Genomic DNA, 22,736 nt, shown 5'->3' on the forward strand with positions numbered 1-22,736 from the left:
CAGTAGCATCATCATCATCATCATCATCATCACCTGTGTGTAGACAACTGAATCAGGCTCCGTGGCTCCTGGAAACTGGAAATGTTCACATAAAGGCAGAGAAAACCCTTCCAGAATATTTCTACACTATTTCCTACACGAATCACTCGAGAACCATTTCCAAAAGCAATAAAGTATATCTGGCCAACCCATGCTCAGCACCATGCTCTTGCAGAATTTTGACTTTGCCTTTTTGATACTGACCTTTGATTTTTTAAAATAATTGTTTTGTCCTTTTGCTTCAGAAATTTACAAAGCAAACAGAAAACATTATTTAGGAATGACTGACTCTGTATTACTGAATCAATTATTAAATTTTGCTGAATGATTGATCTTGGAAAATAGAGATGTAACTACTTCTTGATGTCAACTGTAATTCAAATCTCATCTCGGTAAAGAATTAATGAAATGCTTAGCCAGGCATGGCCAATGGAATTAGAACTAGCCCAGTCTTGCCATAACTTTCTGCTTCCTTACCATCCTGAGTTTCAGTGGGCAACAGATTCATTTTTGGAGATTACTATGGAAATCTCTGCAACAGTTTTTCCACTCATAACTTAAGGCGTTCATAATTATTGCAGAAGTTTCTCAGTCTCTCCATGTGAAATTTCTCTTAGCTATTGGATTTTAGATATTTCACAGTTCCTTTTGTGCTTTTAAACACACAAGCCCAATTCTGCTTCTTTAAGTGGTTTTGTGTTCCAGTCGCCTGCTCAGAATATGCCTGTTTAATCCTCCTCCTATAGTGATTGATCTGTTTACACTACACTATACTAGACTGGGGAAGTTTTCAAGTTGATTTGAGCTTTTTAGGATGTAGACAGCAGCTAAATTCATGACAAAAATGAGATGCTACCTTAAAAAGTCTGTCCAAATGTACCAAAGGTACTTGCTGTATGAGGCATCATAACTTCCTGTGAAAATGAAAGCTATGCACTTTTTGAATTAAAAACAATGGTGCACAGATATACATACACTCCTGAGCATGCATCAGGTGTGCCGCACACATTCACACACACGCCTCCTCCCCCCCACACACACATTATCTTAGAGTGTGCCTTGGCATCCTTCTTCACATAGACATAGGACATTGTTGAAGAGACCCAGCTCTGTGTGGTCAGTCTGTGTGCCCAGCATCACCTTTGTCCCTCCACAGCTATGTGCCCACTTTGTGTGGTCTTTATATTTTTCTGAAGAAGACTCAGGTTACTCATTCACTTTATTTGTGTACACACTTCAAAAAATATATATTATAACATTTCTATAATATCCAATAAAAGGATGAAATTAGAGGATGTGACTTCTGACCCAATAAAGGACAAAATAAAATGGTAATAATCAAGCTAAAATAAAACAAACACAAACAAGATAGACAGAATAAAAGTGATATGAACAGCAAGTATACTAACAGAAAGTACAATATAAGATGATAGAAATGAGTCCACAAACACAATGGATACAAACAGATTAAACTCTATAATGAAAAGATAAAGACACAAAAGGTTTGAAAAGAAGATGATGGAAAACCAAACACCAAATATATGTTAACCCAAGGAAAAGAGGCTTAACTGTATCAACATCAGATAAATTAAATATTAATGCTAAAGTCATCCTTATGGATAAAACAGTCATCCATTTGAGAAAATCTGTTAAGTTCTCAGATAGCTATAACAATTTAAATCTATATGCATCTAATTAAATGGCATTTATATATAATATACATAAAAGAAAAATTAACAGAATGAAAATAGAAATGAACAAATCCGCCATTATACTGGGATAATTCAGCATATACTCACCAGCTGTGAGAATGGTCTATGACTGGCATAGAGATCAAACTAATATAAATATAAAAGATTTAACAGTTTAATAAGCTCCTTGTAATGGACATATATAGAAAACTACATGAAATAATTGGAGAACACGTTCTTTTCAAGCGTTCCAGAAAATTTTCTAAAACTTGGTTACCCACTTGACATAAAGTATGTCTTCTCAAATTTCAAAGAATCTGAAATTTTCTAACTATAATACAAAAATTAAAAAGTTAATGCCTAAAGAAAACCTTCAATGGCCCTGTATATTTAAAAATGTAAAAAGACACACAAAGATCACTATGAGTTAAAAGAAAAATCATAATAAAAATAAAACTGTGTCTAGGAGAGTTTGATAATAATAACAAACTCCCTTTACTCCATTCATAATTTAAGGCTTTTATAATTATTGCAGAAGTTGACAAAGTACATATTTAAAAGAAAAATTTTACCTTTAATTTTTATGCATGGATCTTATTTGGGCCATAAGCCAAGCACATGAATATGTGTCTGTGTGTGTGTGTGTGTGTGTGTGTGTGTGTGTGTGTGCATCTGTATATATACAAGATATTCTACTCTGGGGCAGGCAGAAATGTCTAGGAGTTGGGATGAAATGGAATTGGCCATGAGTTGATGACTGCGGAAGCTTGGAGAAGGTCTGTAGCTGTTTCTTGGACCATTCTCTCCCTCTCATCCTTCACCCCAACGAGTCCTGTATCTAGTCCCATATAACAACACCACACACTGAGACAAATATTTTTGTCAGCTTCTTACCTACACGTTGAGATGACTTTATACATTTACAAGAAACAAGTAAAGGCATATATGTATTTTCCTTTGTTCACATAATATATAGTATATCGTACACGTCCATTTACAACCCACTTTTTTCACCTAACATCATATCTCAGAAAGTCTTCCTTATCATTTGATTGTAGTGGCATTCCCACCATTTGGACACACAGTATTTTATTGAATCCTTCCTCTCCTGAGGAACATCTAGGGTGTTTGTAACTCTGTGCGAAGGCTAGGACTGCCGTGAACAAAACTGTGCATCCGCCACGTCATCCATGGGCAAGTGTCTCTGCAGGAAACATTCTCAAAAATGGAACAGCTGGGAGAGCTGGGTCCCATATCTGATCATTAATACATTTTTATTACTGGTAGATGTTACCAAATATTTCTCCTCGGGGATTGTACCAATTTATACTTGTACCAGAAGTGTGCAGGAGTTATTTGCAATACTTTAATAACCCAGTGCCTTTGCCTCCTTTGCCTGGAATATGCATCCTACCCTCATCAGATGCCATCCTCTGGGAGATGATTTAAGAGGGATGCCTTCCAAGACAATACCTCCTGGGCTGCACTAGGAGACAGACACGTGCCCCTAGGGGTCCCGCAAATGCATGTCTCACAACACTTCTCACACTGCATTGTGATTGCCAGGGTTCTTCATTTTCTCAAGCTCCAGAATACCAGTTCTGTCTTATTTGTCTTCTTTCACCTGTACTTCCTACCATGCCGGACCCACAGGAAGCTATTGTAATGTTTGTAACATGAATCTTTAAAAATGGGCTGAGGTCTCTATGGATTACATATACTTCCTAAATCAATTTCCAAATACAAAAAAAAATTCAAGCAAGAAATAAAAAGCACATGTTTTAAAAGAGCATTACAGTGTGGAGATTCCTTGAAGAACTAAAAGTAGAACTACCATTTGATCGAGCAATCCCACTACTGGGTATCTACCCAGAGGAAAAGAAATCATTATACGAAAAAGATACTTGCACACCCATGTTTATAGCAGCACAATTCGCAATTGCAAAAACATGGAACCAACCCTAATGCCCATCAATCAACGAGTAGATAAAGAAACTGTTGTATATATACACAATGGAAAACTACTCAGCTATAGAAAGGAATGAATTAATGGCGTTTGCAACAACCTGGATGAGACTGCAGACTATTATTCTAAGTGAAGTAACTCAGGAATGGAAAACCAAACATCACATGTTCTCACTTGTAAGTGGGAACTAAGCTATGAGGATACAAAGGCATAAGAGTGACACAATGGACTTTGGGGACTTAGGGGGAAAGGGTGAAAAGAGGGTGAGGGATAAAAGACTACAAATAGGGTTCAGTGTATACTGCTCGGGTGATGGGTGCACCAAAATCTCAAAATCTCAAAAAAGTAAAGAACTTTCTTGTGTTACCAAATACCATGTGACCAAACACTACCTGCTCCCCAATAACCTATAGAAATAAAAAAATTAAAATAAATGTAACAAAAAAGCATTACAAAATCAAATTCAGAAAAAGAGATATGAACATAAAAATGACCCCAAAATAGCAACTTTCAAATTTTGAACACAAATAAGGATGGAGCTATTTTGTTTGTTTAAGTGCCTATAGAAATTGTATTATAACCAAACAGGCTTTTGTAGTCATTTGTAGAAAAATAAGTACAACATAAAGTGAATACAGTAATAAAGAAAGTTGTATATCTGTTATAAATAAACATATAGATTTTTCATATATGTCTATAGGGCAATGTCCATCATTCTGGAGAAGTCGTATGGAGCTGTTTAGTACATTTTAACTAATGTTCCTTAAAAAAAAAAAAAAAGAGGCTGGGCGCGGTGGCTCACGCCTGTAATCCCAGCACTTTGGGAGGCTGAGGTGGGCGGATCACGAGGTCAGGAGATAGAGACCATCCTGGCTAACACGGTGAAACTCCGTCTCTACTAAAAATACAAAAAATTAGCTGGGCGTGGTGGCGGGCGCCTGTAGTCCCAGCTACTCGGGAGGCTGAGGCAGGAGAATGGCGTGAACCTGGGAGGCGGAGCTTGCAGTGAGTCAAGATTGCGCCACTGCACTCCAGCCTGGGCGACAGAGCGAGACTCCGTCTCAAAAAAAAAAAAAAAAAAATTTCTCCTAAGTTCAGACACTGCTTCATTGATTAATTCATTTGTTAATCCATCCACTCACTCAATATCTCCGCAAATATTTATGGTGGCCTTTTTTTTTTTTTTTTTTTTTTTTGTAAAGGACTATGCTGGGCCAACATGGTGGCTCATTCCTTGTAGTCCCAGCAATTTGGGAGGCCAAGTGGGAGAATCACTGGAGCCAGGAGTTGGAAACTAGCCTGGGCAACATAGTGAGATCATGTCTCTACTAAAAATAATAGCTAAATTTCAAAAACATATTTTAAAAAAGGACTATGTTAGTGCTATAAGGTATCCAAAATTTATCTGATAAAAATTCCAGGCTCTGTAAATTTATAGAAGAGGGGAAGATAATTTTCTTTTATCAGTAAATTATATCATTGTACTTAAAATGTTTTTCATTGGCTTTGATTTTAAGAAATGTAAGGAAAACAAAATGGTTTACATTAATCATATATTGTATATATTCATATGCAAATATTTACAATATGTATTTAAATGTATATGTGATATATTATTCAATCTTGTTTGTGGATTTAGAAAAAAAAAGAGATTGATACATTTTAAGAAAACTTCCCTGTATGAAAAAAATTTCTGGAAACCGTAAGTGTGAGCTATCTACATTAGTGTTTCTGTGTTTGGCAAAACAGTATTACAGCCCAAACGGGAATGGTTGAGGACAGATAACTTGGCCAAATCACCCTGGCTAGAAAAGTGAGGAGATTGCATCAAACTCACTCCGAAAGCCAATCAAAGAATAACTTGAAACCGCTTTCAGTCACTTGGACTTTGCTTCCTGGTCCTTAGTGGCAGCTAATGAGGTTTAGAAATAAGCACATGTATCTGTCTATACTGAAGGGAAGAAAATAAATCTACTATGGCACCAGTTCAAAACACTGCATGAGCAGTCGAGAGAAACAATTTACCAGAACATGCTTAATGGTAAATCAGAAATGACATGTATGAAAACATGGGGCTGCAACTTGAAAATATTGGAAAATGAGTCATCTAAATTTGCAGAACCAATCAGATCTTGGACTGATACACTTTGTAAGTTGCAACTGCTGGATACCATGTAGCTATGTGATCAAGAGCATCTGTAATGATGAATGCTTCATGTTCACACAGCTTTAAATGCCTGATTTCTGAAATGATCAATCATTTATTAGCTGTAAGGTAAGGGCAATGACATATGCAATCTTCTCCTGTGCTTAGAGATGTTAAAATTCATTTATGGTACTACAAAGATAAGAACATGCAATAAAAGTTCTAAACTATGTAATAAAATCCAAGGTAGGATTTTATGGATTATGTATTAGTAATGATATTTTAAGAGAATATTAACATTTTGTTAAGCAAATATATTAATATATTAATTATTCAATAATTTTAATTATGATTAATTTTATCATAAGCATTTTCTTTTCTATTTACACATAAGACACTTACAAATTCAAATAATAAAAAAAGATGTTTTTAAACTGTACTCAGGAATAGACAGACATATGTTTTAAATAAAGAGAGTCTATTTCAACACGGCAAAACCCCATCTCTACTAAAAATACAGACATTAGCTGGTCATGGTGACACATGCCTGTGGTCCCAGCTACTCATGAGGCAGAGATGGGAGGATCACTTGAGGCTGGGGGCAGAGGTTGCAGTGAGCTATGATTGCGCCACTGCCCTCCAGCCTGGGTGACAGAGCAAGACCCTGTCTCAAAAAATAAAATAAAAATAAAATGAAATAATAAAAAACAAAGCACATAGGTCAGCTGGATGCAGTGGCTCATGCCTGTAATCCCAGCACTTTGGGAGGCTGAGGCAGGAGGATCACTTGAGGCCAGGAGTTCAAGACCAGCCTGGGCAACGTAGTGAGACCATGTCTTTACAAAACACACAAAAAAATTAGCCAGCATGGTGGCACATGCCTGTGTTCCCAGGTATTCGGGAGGCCTGAAGTGAGAGGATCCCTTGAACTACTGTATACAATTTGCAGCCAGGTGGAAGACAGTACAGACTTCAAAGCCTCCATTAACTCAGCGAACCCATTCCCCAGCCCATGGACACACACACAAAGACTTACACTCACATTTTTTGCTTATGGGAGCCAGCGTTTCTCCTTAGGAGTAGCAAGGGATGAGCTTTTTATTGTCACTGTGGCTTTTCAGTTTATGCAACAACACCTTTGAACAAGGGCTGAGACCAGGATGGAACCCACGCTATCTCCCTCTTTATAATGGTGCCATTTAAAAAATTATTTTGTAGAGATGAGATCTTGCTATGCTGGCCAGGGTGGTCTCAAACTCCTGGCCTCAAGTGATTCTCCCATCCCCGCCTCCCAAAGCGCTGGGATTATAGGCATGAGCTACTGTGCCCACCTAAAACAATGCCATTTTTAAGATGAGGTGCATTTAAAGAAAGGGTGTATTTGGTAGGCAAAATAAGTACCCTCCAAAGATGTCCAGGAACTCATCCCTGGAACCTGTGAACATGTGAGACGACAAGGCAAGGGAGGAAATGAGTTGGAAGGTGCTATTGACAGGTACCAATCAGCTGACCTGAAGCATGGATATTATCTTGGGTTATCTCTGGGGGAGTCCAGTGGAATCCCAAGGGTCTTTCTAAGTGTAAAAGAGGCAGGAGAAAGGAACCAGAAAGACAGCCACATGAGAAGGATCCAACCCCAAAAATGCTGGCTTTTAAGATGGAGAAAGAGGCCATGAGACAAGGAATGGTGGGAGCTTTCAGAGTCTGAAAAACACAAGAAAACAGCTCCTCCCCTACAACCCCCAGAAGGGACACTGCCCCACTGTCATCTTGAATGTTAACCCAAAGGCACTCAGTCCAGACTTTACATGAAACTATAGAACTGCAGGGCAATAAGTGTATGTTTTTACTTTTAATTCCAAAAATTTCACTAACTTATTTTAATTGACGAACTTAAATGGTATATACCATCTACACCAGGTTGCTTTGAAATATGTATACATCGTGAAATAGCTACACCGAGCTAGTTGACGATTGCTTTACTTCACCTAAGTATAATTTTCTTTGTGGTGAGAACTCTTAAAATCTACCCTCTTAGCAATCTTTAAAAATACAATATTATCATTAGCTGTTGTCACAGTGTTTTACAATAGAGCTCTTGAACTTACTCCTCCTGTCTAACTGAAATCTTGTACCCTTTGGCCAACATCTCCCCAACCTTCCACCTCCCCCAGCTCCTGGAAACCACATTCTATTCTCTGATTCTGTGAGTTCAACTGTTTTAGATTCCACATAGGAGTGAGATAATGCAGCCAGGATCAGTGGCTCATGCCTACAATCCCAGCAATTTGGGAGGCCAAGGCAGGAGGATCACTAGAGGCCAGGAATTTGAGACTGGCCTGGACAATGCAGGGAGGTTTCATCTCTAGAAAGAAAAAACGTGTGTGTGTGTGTGTGTGTGTGTGTGTGTGTGTGTGTGTATAATTATATAATATATATATTATATATATAATATATAATATATTATATTATATATATAATATATAATATATTATATTATATATATTATATATAATATATTATATTATATATATTATATATAATATATTATATTATATATATTATATATAATATATTATATATATTATATATATTATATATAATATATTATATATATTATATATATTATATTATATATTATATATTATATATATTATATATATTATATTATATATTATATATTATATATAATTAATATAATATATAATATATATAATATGTAATACAAATTATATATATAAAATATATATTATATGTAATAAAAATTATATATATAAAATATATATTATATATATTATATATATAAAATTTGTATTACATATTATATATAATTATGCTATACATATTATATATATCTAATATATTAGATATATATAATATATAAAGCATAATTATAATTATGCTATAGATATTATATAATTATGCTATAGATATTATATATAATATAATATATATTATGTATAATATATAATATATATTACATTATGTATAATATATAATATATATTACATTATGTATAATATATAATATATATTACATTATGTATAATATATAATATATATTACATTATGTATAATATATAATATATATTACATTATGTATAATATATAATATATATTACATTATGTATAATATATAATATATATTACATTATGTATAATATATAATATATATTACATTATGTATAATATATAATATATATTACATTATGTATAATATATAATATATATTACATTATGTATAATATATAATATATATTACATTATGTATAATATATAATATATATTACATTATGTATAATATATAATATATATTACATTATGTATAATATATAATATATATTATATTATGTATAATATATAATATATAATATATATTATGTATAATATATAATATATATTATATTATGTATAATATATAATATATATTATATTATGTATAATATATAATATATTATATTATGTATAATATATAATATATTATATATTATGTATAATATATAATATATTATATATTATGTATAAGATATAATATATTATATATTATGTATAAGATATAATATATATTATATTATGTATAAGATATAATATATATTATATTATGTATAAGATATAATATATATTATATTATGTATAAGATATATATTATATTATGTATAAGATATATATTATATTATGTATAAGATATAATATATATTATATTATGTATAAGATATAATATATATTATATTATGTATAAGATATAATATATATTATATTATGTATAAGATATAATATATATTATATTATGTATAAGATATAATATATATTATATTATGTATAAGATATAATATATATTATATTATGTATAAGATATAATATATATTATATTATGTATAAGATATAATATATATTATGTATAAGATATAATATATATTATGTATAAGATATAATATATATTATATTATGTATAAGATATAATATATATTATATTATGTATAAGATATAATATATATTATATTATGTATAAGATATAATATATATTATATTATGTATAAGATATAATATATATTATATTATGTATAAGATATAATATATATTATATTATGTATAAGATATAATATATATTATATTATGTATAAGATATAATATATATTATATTATGTATAAGATATAATATATATTATATTATGTATAAGATATAATATATATTATATTATGTATAAGATATAATATATATTATATTATGTATAAGATATAATATATATTATATTATGTATAAGATATAATATATATTATATTATGTATAAGATATAATATATATTATATTATGTATAATATATAATATATATTATATTATGTATAAGATATAATATATATTATATTATGTATAATATATAATATATATTATATTATGTATAATATATAATATATAATATATTATGTATAATATATAATATATAATATATTATGTATAATATATAATATATAATATATTATAAATAAGTTGGATGTGGTGCACACACCTGTGGTACCAGCCACTCTGAAGGCTCAGGTGAGAGGATTGCTTGAGCCCAGGAGGTCAAGGTTGCAATGAGCTATGATCGTACCACTGCATTCTGGCTGGGCCAGAGCGACACCTGGTCTCTAAAAATAATATGACTTCAAGTACACAGTTACTCATTTGAGGTAGTAAGGGGTGGCATAAACATCAACTGTTCCATCATTAAGTACACTGTGGCCTCTTTCTTGTCCTTCCACTATAGAGTAAATAGTAGTCAGATAACCCAGGATGTACAACAGAACTCAGACATGGACCTCTGCAGTGCTTATTTTGGCTCTGTAACTACTGAAAGAGATCTCAAATAAGGATCTTTTTAGAAACTTAAAGTAGTACTTCATAGTACTTAGTAGTACCAACACACGCTTTGGGTAAAAGGAAAATCCTTTATGAAAATGCAAACTTTAGGAATTAAATGCTCCCCATAGGGACTCACTTATTGCTGTATACGTGACTGCAGGCAGAAAAACACAATCTGAATGAACTTGTTTTTTTTCTTAAACTTGGAAAACCCAGAAAAGGTGAGTGGTATACAGGGGCCAATTAACATAAATAGCACGAGGAAAAATGAGAGGAAGTCACTCCTCTCCTCCCAATGGGAGTACTGTGTTTTGAAGGATTCATGAATGGAATTTCAGAAACTTGGCAAAAGAATACATTTACTTCACTTACTCCATATATATTCTGAATTTCATATTTACTAAATAAAGTGTTTCCAAATGAACATTTCTTTTTTTACATGTTACATGTAAAATTGTTTTACATGTAAAAACATGTACATCTTTTTAACATGTTACATGCAAAAAATCTTTTTACATGTTTGTTATATGTTGTTACATGTGAAAACTGCACATTAAAAAAAGGAAAGGCAGGCGAATTCATCATTCAAGTTTTTAGATGTCCATATAAACTTCCACATAATCCACGAATATTAAACTGGATAAACAAAGCACTCTACAAAATTTACCTTGCCACAGATGTGAAATAATTGTAAGCATACATAAATGTTAACAAAATGCTTTCATTCAATTCTAAGGGGAGGTATCATTGAATGATGGACCAAAACAAACTAAATAGCATTTTGATGTCTGTGGAAATGACATACCCACAAACCAGTGGCTCAGCACTGATATTAATATATCTTGCTCAGTTGCCTTAATCATTTACAGCAGTATAATTTTTTTTAAGAACACAGACAGTAAGGTGCTTTTAATAATTTTGATATGGCCATAGAGTATATCTATTTTTTGAAGTCCTACTTTCATTGGAATTGCCTCTTTATCCTAATGAGTAAATACAAAAGAACGCACAGATAAGATAGCTTTTGTCTTCTTCTTCTTGTTTTCTGAGAAAGAGTCTTGCTCTGTCGCCCAGGCTGGAGTGCAGTGGCACAATCTTGGCTTACTGCAACCTCCAACTCCCGGGTTCAAGAGATCCTCCTGCCTCAGCTTCCTGAGTAGCTGGAACTACACGTGCGTGCCACCACGCCCGGGTAATTTTGGTATTTTTAGCAGAGATGGGGTTTCACCATGTTGGCCAGGCTGGTCTCAAACTCCTGACCTCAAGTGATCCACTCCCCTCGGCCTCCCAAAGTGCTGGGATTACAGGCGTGAGCCACCACACCCAGCAGATATTGTCTTCTTTTATTAGAGAAAAATGTACTTTTCTATGCCTGTGCTTTCTACATTTTTGGAACTGATACAAATCCACAGAGGCCAAATCGAAATCTAAATTATCTTTAATGTTAAAATTTAATTGACCGTGTACATAACTATGCAATCCCTGCTTTCTCACAGAAGTGTCTAGGATTCATTCAACAGATCATAGAAACGAGGTCTGGCATTTAACAGACGAGTGACAGAGGAGCTATACCGATTTATACAACAATTATCAAAACACTGTCATGTAGTTTACTGTAGCTCAAGTTGTGCTTGTATCATATAACATAGGTTCAAGTTCTTTCTTCAGTCATCAGAATAACAGAGGTTGAAGAGACAACTGGGTAAGTGCCAACTTTTCCAAAAGCTGTTTCAAAAAAAAATTTAAGTAACTGTAATACACATTTCTGCAAATAAAATATTCCAGTGCTACATCAATCCTGAGTTTTTAATATTAAATATGCACTACTTACAGTTCTGACATGATTTTATTTAAAAACATGTCTAGTTATCAAGTTCACTGTCTTCATCGGAAAAAACTCTGTCACAAAGGTCTTCAAAGTCCTCAAGAGCCTAAAAGAAAAAGTCTAGTTCACTGACAAACCACCACTTTATATCTCGCATTTTAAACAGGGTTAATTAAATGTCAAAAGGAAACAGCTTTTAATATTCAAAGGATGCCAGTTATTCATTTCAAATAGAAAAAACTATAATCAATACATGGAGCTCCAAATACCCAATTAAATTTTTTAATGCCAGATTTCAGTGACATATTATTTTAGCAGGTCTAACAGTCATGTACTTTGCTTAAATAAAATGGGTTGAAGAACATCTTAAGGTCAAGATGGAGCGAAGACAGAAAAAGACGGGCAGGCTTATATCATGAAATATTATATTTTTTTTCAGCAGGTAGCGACCCATGTATTATCAGCAATAGCCTACATAACATGGTTTCCATTGAAGGGATAAAATGGTTGGTGATATGACCTCATCAAGTTAGAGAAAACGTAACTGTGTTTGAAATATATACTCTTTACTCAACAAATAGTTCAACAGTTCCTACTCCCTAAAATGTTGTAGGTTAATGCTGAGGAAGATGTAAAAAATGAATACACAATCTTCCGTATTTCTATGACATGAGCAAATGCACAAATAAAAAACAAGTAATACAAAACTTGTGTAACTGCTATGGAAGGGCAACTCACTCGGGCATGTAGCCAAAAATGGAGACTGATGTTGATTTAGTTGGCGAAAGGTTTCAATCAGTCAAAAAAAGATTTTAAAAGTATTGTGAGGGAAGAGCATGAGCAAAGCATGGGAGTAACGGTGAGTTCCTTCAGGGAAGGCGGTCAACCTGGAGAAGTGGGAGGAAAGACAGAAGGCGGCAAAACAAGCCTAAGAGGGGGTCATGTAAAGGGGAGAGTCTCTGAATATCTAAGAACTGAGACGGGGCATCACTGACAGGCTGGGAAGACGGAAGGGCTGGGAAGCATTTTAGGAAGGGAAGGGTTTTAGAAAGATAATATTGCCAATCAATGAAGGATGGCTCAGAAGAGAAGAGAGAACTCAGAAAAGAGTTTAATAGTACAGGTAAGGAAGAATGAGGTCTTGGACTAGGGTAGCCGCAGTGGGAATTTAAAGAAAGAAATTAAAGGACCATTGCAGAGGTAAAACTTGCCTCGTGATAACTACATGGGAAGGATAATGAACTCAGAAGAGTCCAAGATGATAGCAAAGTTCCTAACCTAAGTGGTAACATGAAACATTAATACTGACAGGAAAACTACTAGTCTCATGTTCATACCAATTAATAAATGGTATCTGGAGAACATTATAGCAACATGTTCTCTACTTGTAACTTCTATTTAAATAACTGTTTGTGTATAGATAATCCTCAAGTTGCTTGAAAATTTTATTTTCAAACTCTTTTCCCAGTTTATTTAACACATCTCAGTTAGTGTAGAGAAGTGACATATGAACATGTCTTTTCCAAGGTTATTAAAAAGAATACCAGATCTCCCCAAAAAAGATTCCACTGCTTCCTAAATTATCTACATCTACATGAAGAAGAGGTCATTGTCTGATGATAATTTGCTAATGTGCTGTACAACAGCAGATAATTCGCAATTCACAACGTGTTAATAATCTGCTGGCTTTCCCATTCTGTTATACATCTGAACCATCTCTTATGATTACAAATTGTCATGTAGAACCATTACTAATAATTTTGTAAGTGAATATGCCATAAAACACTCCTGTGTTTCAGCAAGAAATAAAAAAGACACACAGTAGTTACGCTTGCCTACTTCCTATTTAACTAAAACTCTTGAAACAACACAAGTAAAAAAGCCATCCAGAAAGGATTTATGGACCTCTTGCCTTCCACCATAGATTTGTCATTGATGTCCTGAAAACTGAAAATAAAATCTTCATTAAAACCCATTTATGCCTAGTGTTCCATTATTGGAACGCTAAGCTTGTGGGAATCATATATATCCTACTGCTCAAGGTCATGGCCAAGGTCTGATTTTTCACACACAAAAAAAATTTGCAACCTCTGGCATAAATAGGTTAATGTGTTAATAAAGTGTCAATTTTATACATAAGATGTGTATTTCTAGGTAAAATTTCCAATTTACCTTTTCCTGTTCTAAATAACTCCCACAAACTATTCATGAATCCTAAAAATACATTTACCAATTATATTATATCTGGAACAATACATTCAAAGTGAAAATGCTAAGTAATTTGAAATGTATAATCAAATGTCTTTCCATACATTCAGAAACAAGCAGACTGTCTTCTATTATGCACGTGTTGTATTTTATAATGTATTATGTTACCAAATAGAACAGACCTTTACGAATTGGTCACGTAGCAGCTTCATCTCTTTCAGCCTCTCTCTCCTAACACTTCTATATTGTTGCCACTTCTTCTGTTGTTCTTGAAATATTCTCTAGAATCCCAAAACAAAATAGTGATAAAAATTGGGTAAATTTTAATACTTACAAAACATAATTCTGCATTAGCTTTAAAGGAATACTGTTTAAATCAATACCTCTGAACACTTTCTTTTAGACAACATTTAGGACCAATTTTAAACAATTGTGTTCACCAATAACATGCTAAAATGATGTATTAACCTTTTTTATCAGTCATTAAGTAAAGAATTTTCTTACTTTTACACATTCAACACATATGTCCTAATTCTTGATTTCCAATGAAGAGTATTTGATGAACCTTCCTATAATTTGTTGACCACAGATAGGTAAGATCTATACAGAAATTAACTAAGAAAAATTCTTTCTAAGATTTTAAGCATGTATTAAATCTCGGTCATTTCAATATGCACATAGATGAACCACCCAATAATGATTGCCTTTCTGCACCCTGACCTAATCTCCAACAACAGTGTTCTCCTCTCCTCTACGTGGCACTCACTCACACAGTCATCCCCTAGATTTTGTCATTCCCAATGACTTCAACACCTACGTAATATTAATAATAGCAATGATAAAGAGCAACCATGGGTCAGATCACATCCTGAAAAACTTAAATAAACCTGTTACACAGAAACCCTTTGATCCTCCAAACAACTCTGACGTAGGTACTCTTACCATGTCTCCTTTCGTAGATAAGATAATTTGCCCATGGTTTCCGAGCTAGCAATGGTCAAGCTGAGATAAATAATTTTTCCATGGTTTCCGAGCTAGCAATGGTCAAGCTAGAATCCCAAGCAGTGTGGATGCATAGTCCCAGCCCTTGACCACTGCACTCAGCTGTTTCTCCAACTTCCCAACATACAGCCACTACCTCCCTGCCATCGTAGGTCACTCACTTCAGTACTACAGCTCAGGAGTCTGTTGGGACCTGACACCCACTGAATGGAGCACTTTTTACTGCCCATTGCCCACTCCCGTGTGCTCAGATAACTCAGTCCCAGCTGAAATTCCACAGCCAGTCATCATATCCCCATCTCTGCATCTATTCCCTGCCCAACTCTCCCTCTATCAATCTGCTCGGCTACACCCCGACCCAGGAAATTCCAACCCTACAGCTGTGCTTGCACAAATATGCCAACTGGGCTTACTTTAACTTCTTCATCGTTATGATGCTGACTTCAGTTGGACCCCTAATGCTGCGTGGCAATTATATTCCCCTAGTCCATTAGTCCACTAACGGGCCCCCCTCTCTGGGCTCATGCGCTCTTCCTTCTTTGCTGGATTTCTGCATGAACTATTACTACCTGAGACACTGACATAACAGGTTATACATAAAGCTAAGCATGATACCAACAATTAGTTCTTCCTCTTCTCCCTCTTCTTCTTCTTCCTCTTTCTGCTCGTCTGTGATGTATTCTTCAAGGACATTTAGCAACTTCAGAGAATGTATATAATCACGTTTCTGCCTGTAACACATAATAAGTAACACGGTCATACGTCATAGAGAGATGAAAAATTAATCCTATTCAAACCCAAACTGACTTGACATAATTTATACTATAAAGTAGCAAGGGAGTAATAGCAGCTGAAATCTTCTTTTTGGAAAAAAGTGAAATGAGTTACTCTCATTTTGAAAGGATTCTTTTCTTCCTGACTACTAGAGCAGCTATCTTACATTCTTTACCTGCTGAAGACAAAGGAGGGTTTACTGCACTATAACTTTCCCAGAAACATTTTCTCTAAGAGCAGTTTACTTTCCATTTCCTCTTACTGAATAACATATGGGTTCTCATAAGTAGGTTCAAGAATATCATAGCCATTCATCCCATAAGATTTCCCAAAAGAAAAACTTCACTTAACTATTTCTCCACTTTGGCACACCAATGATTTTGTAAAAGAAATAGTGAAAACAATTTAACTAAAATAGATAACTTATTTACAACATAAGGTTATCCCTTTCTACATAATTGAGTATCGTTAAGGATCTACAGACTAAACATTGAGAACATTTATCTTATATGCAGCTACCATATTTCTAGAAATGGATAAACATTAATTTTACAAGAAGGCTATTTTTATCTGGAAGGCAAAAAGAGGTCATCTTCATTGGCTTCTAGGTAATATCTCTTAATTCTGTTAAACTGAGGTTATAAAACTAAAGAAACTTACCTACTTAGAGAACAATCAAGTAAAATATGTTGTTCACTAGAGACGCCAATATGTACAGGATAGTTTTTGAAATTATTTGCACCAACTAATACAAAGAAATGATATAAATATCATTATGCAAAAAAGCCAACAGTCATACCTTTTAAGTTGCTTTTTTCTCAAAGCATGTTTACTTTTGTTCTTTGTTTTGCTGCAAGTTTTATCCATTTTCATCCTTTTTCTTTTTGCAGTAAGATCCTCTTTAATGTCAGTTAGATAGTAAATGAAAATGGATTAAAAGTTAATGTTGAAAAGTAGTTTCTTTGCATATACTGACATCAATATGGGACTTTATGGTTCAGCAATTTCAGAAGGATATTTAAAATATAAAATGCAAAGATCATTTCAAAAAGCAAGATTTACTCACTTATTTTCTGTAAAACCTTTCAGGTATTAACATTCGCATTTCAATTCCAGTTGGTATAACTGAAAATCACTTAATTGACAGATGATGAAAAAAAGCAAATAATTAAAAGTCTCTATTTTTTAAATGTGCAGAAAGAGTTATAAGCACAGACTTTAATTTCTACATTTATAAAATGTCCTACAATTCAAAGGAGATGCTTCCATGAAATACTGCACAATTCATTACGTAAAGCACACAAAAAAGTATCTTATATAATAGAACCCTCAAAAGGGTAGAAATAACTTAATGCACAATAAGAAAAGCATTTTTAAGCAATCTAGTGATTGATGCTATTAACTGTATTTTAATAAAAGAAGCAATGGCCATGAGTATAAAAATTTAGGTTTAGGTAAAGAAATACATTCAAAAACACTTTTGAAATGTTTTCTTGGAGCTTTTTATGACATTTGTACCCATAGTGCTGTGTTTCAGAAAACTGTAATACTGCAAGGAATGCTTTCCTAAACATGATTTCACATCAGAGCTCTACCATCAATTGCTAAGAATAATTTTCAGCAATCATAAAAGATTTGTACCACAATGCAAATATTTTTTACATACAGTCTCCATCTATAATGCCCAATGTATTAGGCAGCTCACAAAACCAGCACTTTGTCACCAAGCTTTCCAAATATACTGCTTGTATGAATCATCGCTAGAGAAGAGCTGAAAACTGAATTGAGCTTTTTAAAAATAAGAGTATTGTCTCCATCATCTCTACAGAAATTTTCTCAAACTTTTTTGAAAATATGGTCCTATAAGAGTGTAACTAATATTTCACACAGCAATATAAAGTTTATGAGTTTTTGGAGCCAATTACATGTTTCTCACTAGGTAGAAAAGTTGTCCTTACTTTTCTACTACACAGTTTATTACTGGAATAATAATAGAAAATGATTTTAGAAAATTCAATTTTCTCTTGTACTTTAAAGAAAACAAAATCAGAAAGCTGTGACAATAGAACAGCTAAATTAGGAACATGAAAAACTCATATTAAAAACTCTGAGTACAGACGGACAGGAAGAGAGGAACAACAGACAACTGGGCCTACTTGAGGGTGGAGGGTAGGAGGAGGGTGAGGATCAAAGACCACCCATCAGGTACTATGCTTATAAACTGGGTGACAAAATAATCTGTATACCAAAACCCTGTGACATGCAATTTATCTACATAACAAACCTCCACATGTACCCCCAAACTTAAAGTAAAAGCTAAAAAAAACCATTGATATATGACTTAATCTGTGTATACTAAAAGGAACGAATAGAGCTGTTTCTCCTCCACTGTCCTCTAATATCCTCCAAACAATTAAATTTCCACATGTATGAAAGAAAAGCCATCCATCTCGCTTCACCATTATTAGAAGCATTCTCACATTCCACATCAACAATCAAAAAGGTAAGAAAAATTTATCAAATAGATTACATTAAATACGTACGTTAAATGCTACATATGAGAAGCCATTTAAGACAGTCTTGTCGTCCACTAATTCATATAACCTACTGCAACAGTTGTATGACTGAAAACAATTTTCATAAACTACAGATAACTCCTAAAACATACCTGCAGTATCTTCTGGCTTCTTGGTATTAGCCCTGTAAAAAAAGTTACATCAAAATTTTAACAAAATACTACACAAAATGCCATGTTTGTTGGGAAAAGAAATGTCTTATGTGAAATGTTCTGCATAGAATAGAACAGTGATGACATGGTCCAAAGCTGACTTTTCCTAAAAGACCCTATCCGACAGGCAAAAGTGACTTAAACACTTTACCCCGTGTGTTCATCTGTTTCAGCAAAAGGTTCTCTTTCCCCATGCTCATCAGTTACATCTTCCTCCCTTGTTTCTGTAAAACGGTTTCTTTCCTCACATTCATCACGGACTGGATCCTTTCCTGCATTAAAATGTAAAAGACAAACCTTTTTTAGAGGAAGATGCTGCTGTGGACATTTTTTGTGGAGAAATGTACTAGTTGTAGACTTTTTTGGGGGGGGGGGGCTCTCTGCCAATTAAAGCTTTAAAGCAGAGCTATACATGGAATCACCGGTTCCTGACCATTTTATCGAGGGACTTTTGGAAGCCCTTCGGGTTCAGGTTCCAGTAAACAACGTACTACAGTTCAGACCCCTTGGATGTCAGGACTGCACCCATGGAGAAGAGCTGCTCTGAGAGCATCTGTAACCCTGCTATGAGGGGGAGCCTTCCACGGGGAAGCCTAAGGCCCTTGAGCCTGCTTTGAAAACCTGGCGCATCTTAGCACGTGCACAATGGACTCCAGAGCCACGAAGGGGCCTGGGGCCTCGGGCTGCCCCTGTGCCCCCAGCGCAGAAAGCAGACAGACCGTCCTCTTGGGCGTGCACCTTCTTCTGGGTCCCCTTGGGCTGTATTTACCTGCATGCTTCTTCCCCCAGGCCGCCATAAATTGAGCCTCCAACTGGGCCTTGGCAGCCCTCCTGCCCACAGGATCCGTGGCTGGTTGTCCTGGGAAGCTAGAGGCGATCCCCGAACCTGGTGAGCGCAAAGACACACTAAGGAAGCTAAGGAAACCTGGCATCGGAAAGGAAAGCCATTGGGATCACAGGTTCAAGAAGGGTGGGGCTGGCCCGCCCTGGGTCTCATGTGGGAGCAGGAAGGGACGGAAAAGATGCCAGTGTCCCCTCCTGTCCTGGCCCGTCCAGCCCGTCCCCGGGGCTGGCTGCAAAGCTCACAGCTGCCCCTCACACCTGAACTCCACGGCCTCTGCGGGATCCTCGCCGCCCTTTTGGGACAGAACTCAGCCCTACCTCTGAGTCACCTAGCGACCCCATGTGGCTGGGAGGGCCGCTGGGTGACACAGGATCTCCCCAGCCACCTCTAGGGGAATGTCAGGGGCTGCACTGCCACTCGCCCCCCTGGACGCACAGGGGACCCCCGGTGACCCCCGGTGACCCCAAGTGTCCTGTCCTGTCGGGCGGCCAGGCAGGAGGGCCCCACTCAGACTGTCCCCCACAACACCCCCGCCTCACTCCCACTTCTCCCCCCCTCGGCCCCTCCCCCCAACACATGCACAAGCCCCCAGGACCCTCCCGGGCCCTAGGGATCACCCAGGCAGCTCCAGCTCCCTCCCTGCCCTGGCCCACCCCAGCCCACCCTAGCCCACCCTCAGGGCCTCGCCCTGACCCAGGCCCCAGGCGACGACGCTGGGGCCATTTCCTCACAGGTCGGCGGGCTGCCCAGCGCTTCACACCCTGGTTCCCAGAGGGCCTCGTGCCTGCGTTCCCGCCTCCCCACCACGAGTGCTTCACCTGAGGGACCCCTGATGTGGCGCCCTCAAAGAACCTGCAGGCAGCGGCACCACTAGGACCTCTTAGAAAACGGGTCCTCTCAGGAAGCTGAGGCAGGAGAATTGCTTGAACCCAGGAGGCGGAGGTTGCAGTGAGCCCAGATCACACCACTGCACTGCAGCCTAGGCAGCAAGAGCCAGACTCCGTCCCAAAAAAAACAAAACAAAAAAACAAAAAAAAAGAAAAGTAAAGAAAACGGGTCCTCAGTTCTCGTGAGAGCTGCAGGCAGGACTTCCTGCGCTCCTCGCTGATTGGTCGGCTCAGTGCACATGCGTGTGACGGGCTGTGTGGGGCCAGGCCCCCTGCTGGCACGCCCTCACCCTTCCCCTAAGTGACAGCCCGTGGTTGCTGTGGACTGGGGTGGGGGTGGCCCTTTGGGGCCTCTGTCCCCACAATCTTTCAGCTTCTCCTCCTGGGGAGAGACACAAGGACTTGGGATGGAGGCCAAGTGGACAGGGCCTAGAACCTCGCCCTGGGGCTTGTTCCAGCCACCCCTGCCCCTTTGGCTAGAATGGCCATCACCCTGTGGGTGGAGCCCAGGCTCCCTCCCATGCCCTGTGTGCTTCCAACATGCCCAGCTGCGTCCTTTTTAATCAATGGATTGTGCTTTTATCGTTTGTGTTTGTTGGTTTTTGAGACTGAGTCTCACTCTATTGCCCAGGCTGGAGTGCAGTGGCAAGATCTCAGCTCACTGCAATCTCCCCTTCCCAGGTTCCAGCGATTCTCCTGCCTCAGCCTCCCGAGGAGCTGGGATTACAGGAGCCCAACACCACGCCCTGTTGTTGTTGTTGTTGTTGTTGTTGTTGTTGTTGTTGTTGTTATTATTATTATTGCATATTCGGTAGAGACAGGGTTTCACCATGTTGTCCAGGCTGGTCTCGAACTCCTGACCTCAGTTGATCCGCATGCCTTGGCCTCCCAAAGTGCTGGGATTACAGGCGTGAGCCACCGTGCCCAGCCCATAACCTTTTTTGTTTCCTCACTACTTTTCTTTCTCATCCTCATGCCCCAGACTTGCCCACAAACCTTCATACTCCAGACTTATCCAGACATATGCCACAACCTTCACCCACAAATTAATGCCTTAATACTTATCGTTAACTCAGCTTTTTCCCACCTCCGATCCCCTGTAATAGGGAGAGAGTTGTTTCGGAGTTGGGAGTGAATAAATATTGCCTAAAGTTTGTAAATCAAGATACAGAGTTTCATTATACTATTGAAATTATAAAGGCAGTCATCAGGAAAACTAATCCACAGCCTTAAATGCCTATATAACCAAAAAGAGCACACACAAAGCATACAAATCCTGTAGTAAAAGTTGGAAAATAAAGAAAATACTACAGAGACCATAACATAACATAAAAGAACAGAATTAAGGCCAAGTGAATCTGTTGAGCAAGAAATATGAATGAGATAAACTCGCATTCTAAAGGAAATGACTTCCAACTTGGATCAAAATAAAAACCTAAGTATATGCTGTATGTAAGAATGGAATTAAACAAAATGATACAAAAAGTACATATCAGAAAAATATGAAGAAAAGGAAAATATGGATCTGAGAATTGATATCTCATGAATGTAAAATAATGCAAAAAATAAATGAATAAACTAAAGGCAGAGTACACTGAACAAGAGAAGGGCACAATCTACTCTGACAATCTCACATGAATCATTTTGTGCTTAACACAGCATCAATGTGCCTAAACCCAAAACCGTAGAAAATAAAAGCAAAACAATCAATGAAAATGAACAGTGATATGAGAGTTTAAGCTCCGTCTGTCCAGGAGAGACCAAATACAAATGTATTGTCTTGGATA

The 22,736-nt window shown here is 36.1% G+C and overlaps 1 protein-coding gene across 2 annotated transcripts; it reads right to left on the reverse strand.

Annotated features, from left to right (window-relative positions):
• Positions 1 to 11,260: 11,260 nt before the first annotated feature.
• Positions 11,261 to 21,156, reverse strand: FAM9B (family with sequence similarity 9 member B). Of its 2 annotated transcripts, NM_205849.3 has the most exons (9): positions 20,881 to 21,156; positions 19,988 to 20,104; positions 19,370 to 19,490; positions 19,159 to 19,190; positions 17,290 to 17,389; positions 16,336 to 16,447; positions 14,897 to 14,995; positions 12,513 to 12,612; positions 11,261 to 12,406 (listed from the first exon to the last, which is right to left on the reverse strand). In NM_205849.3, the coding sequence occupies exons 2-8, from the start codon at positions 20,013 to 20,015 to the stop codon at positions 12,544 to 12,546; spliced, it is 561 nt and encodes a 186-aa protein (NP_995321.1). In that variant the 5' UTR covers positions 20,016 to 20,104; positions 20,881 to 21,156; the 3' UTR covers positions 11,261 to 12,406; positions 12,513 to 12,543. The 2 variants fall into 2 exon arrangements, with proteins under 2 accessions (NP_995321.1, XP_047297838.1); XM_047441882.1 differs by lacking the exons at positions 11,261 to 12,406; positions 12,513 to 12,612; positions 14,897 to 14,995; positions 16,336 to 16,447; positions 20,881 to 21,156 and having other exon boundaries at positions 17,304 to 17,625; positions 19,988 to 20,312.
• Positions 21,157 to 22,736: the final 1,580 nt, after the last annotated feature.

The sequence above is a fragment of the Homo sapiens genome, chromosome X (genome assembly GCF_000001405.40).
Source record: "Homo sapiens chromosome X, GRCh38.p14 Primary Assembly".
Taxonomy (NCBI): domain Eukaryota; kingdom Metazoa; phylum Chordata; class Mammalia; order Primates; family Hominidae; genus Homo; species Homo sapiens.

Bases quoted from the DNA above. Each gene is read 5' to 3' on its own strand.
- FAM9B (NM_205849.3), bottom strand. From the start codon at position 20,015: ATGGCGGCCTGGGGGAAGAAGCATGCAG. The intron at 19,191-19,369 runs GTAAAGTGTTTA...CTTTTTTTACAG, and splicing joins GAAACAGATGAACACACGGG to GGCTAATACCAAGAAGCCAG. The intron at 12,613-14,896 runs GTCTGTTCTATT...TTTTTCTTTTAG, and splicing joins TACGTGACCAATTCGTAAAG to GCTCTTGAGGACTTTGAAGA.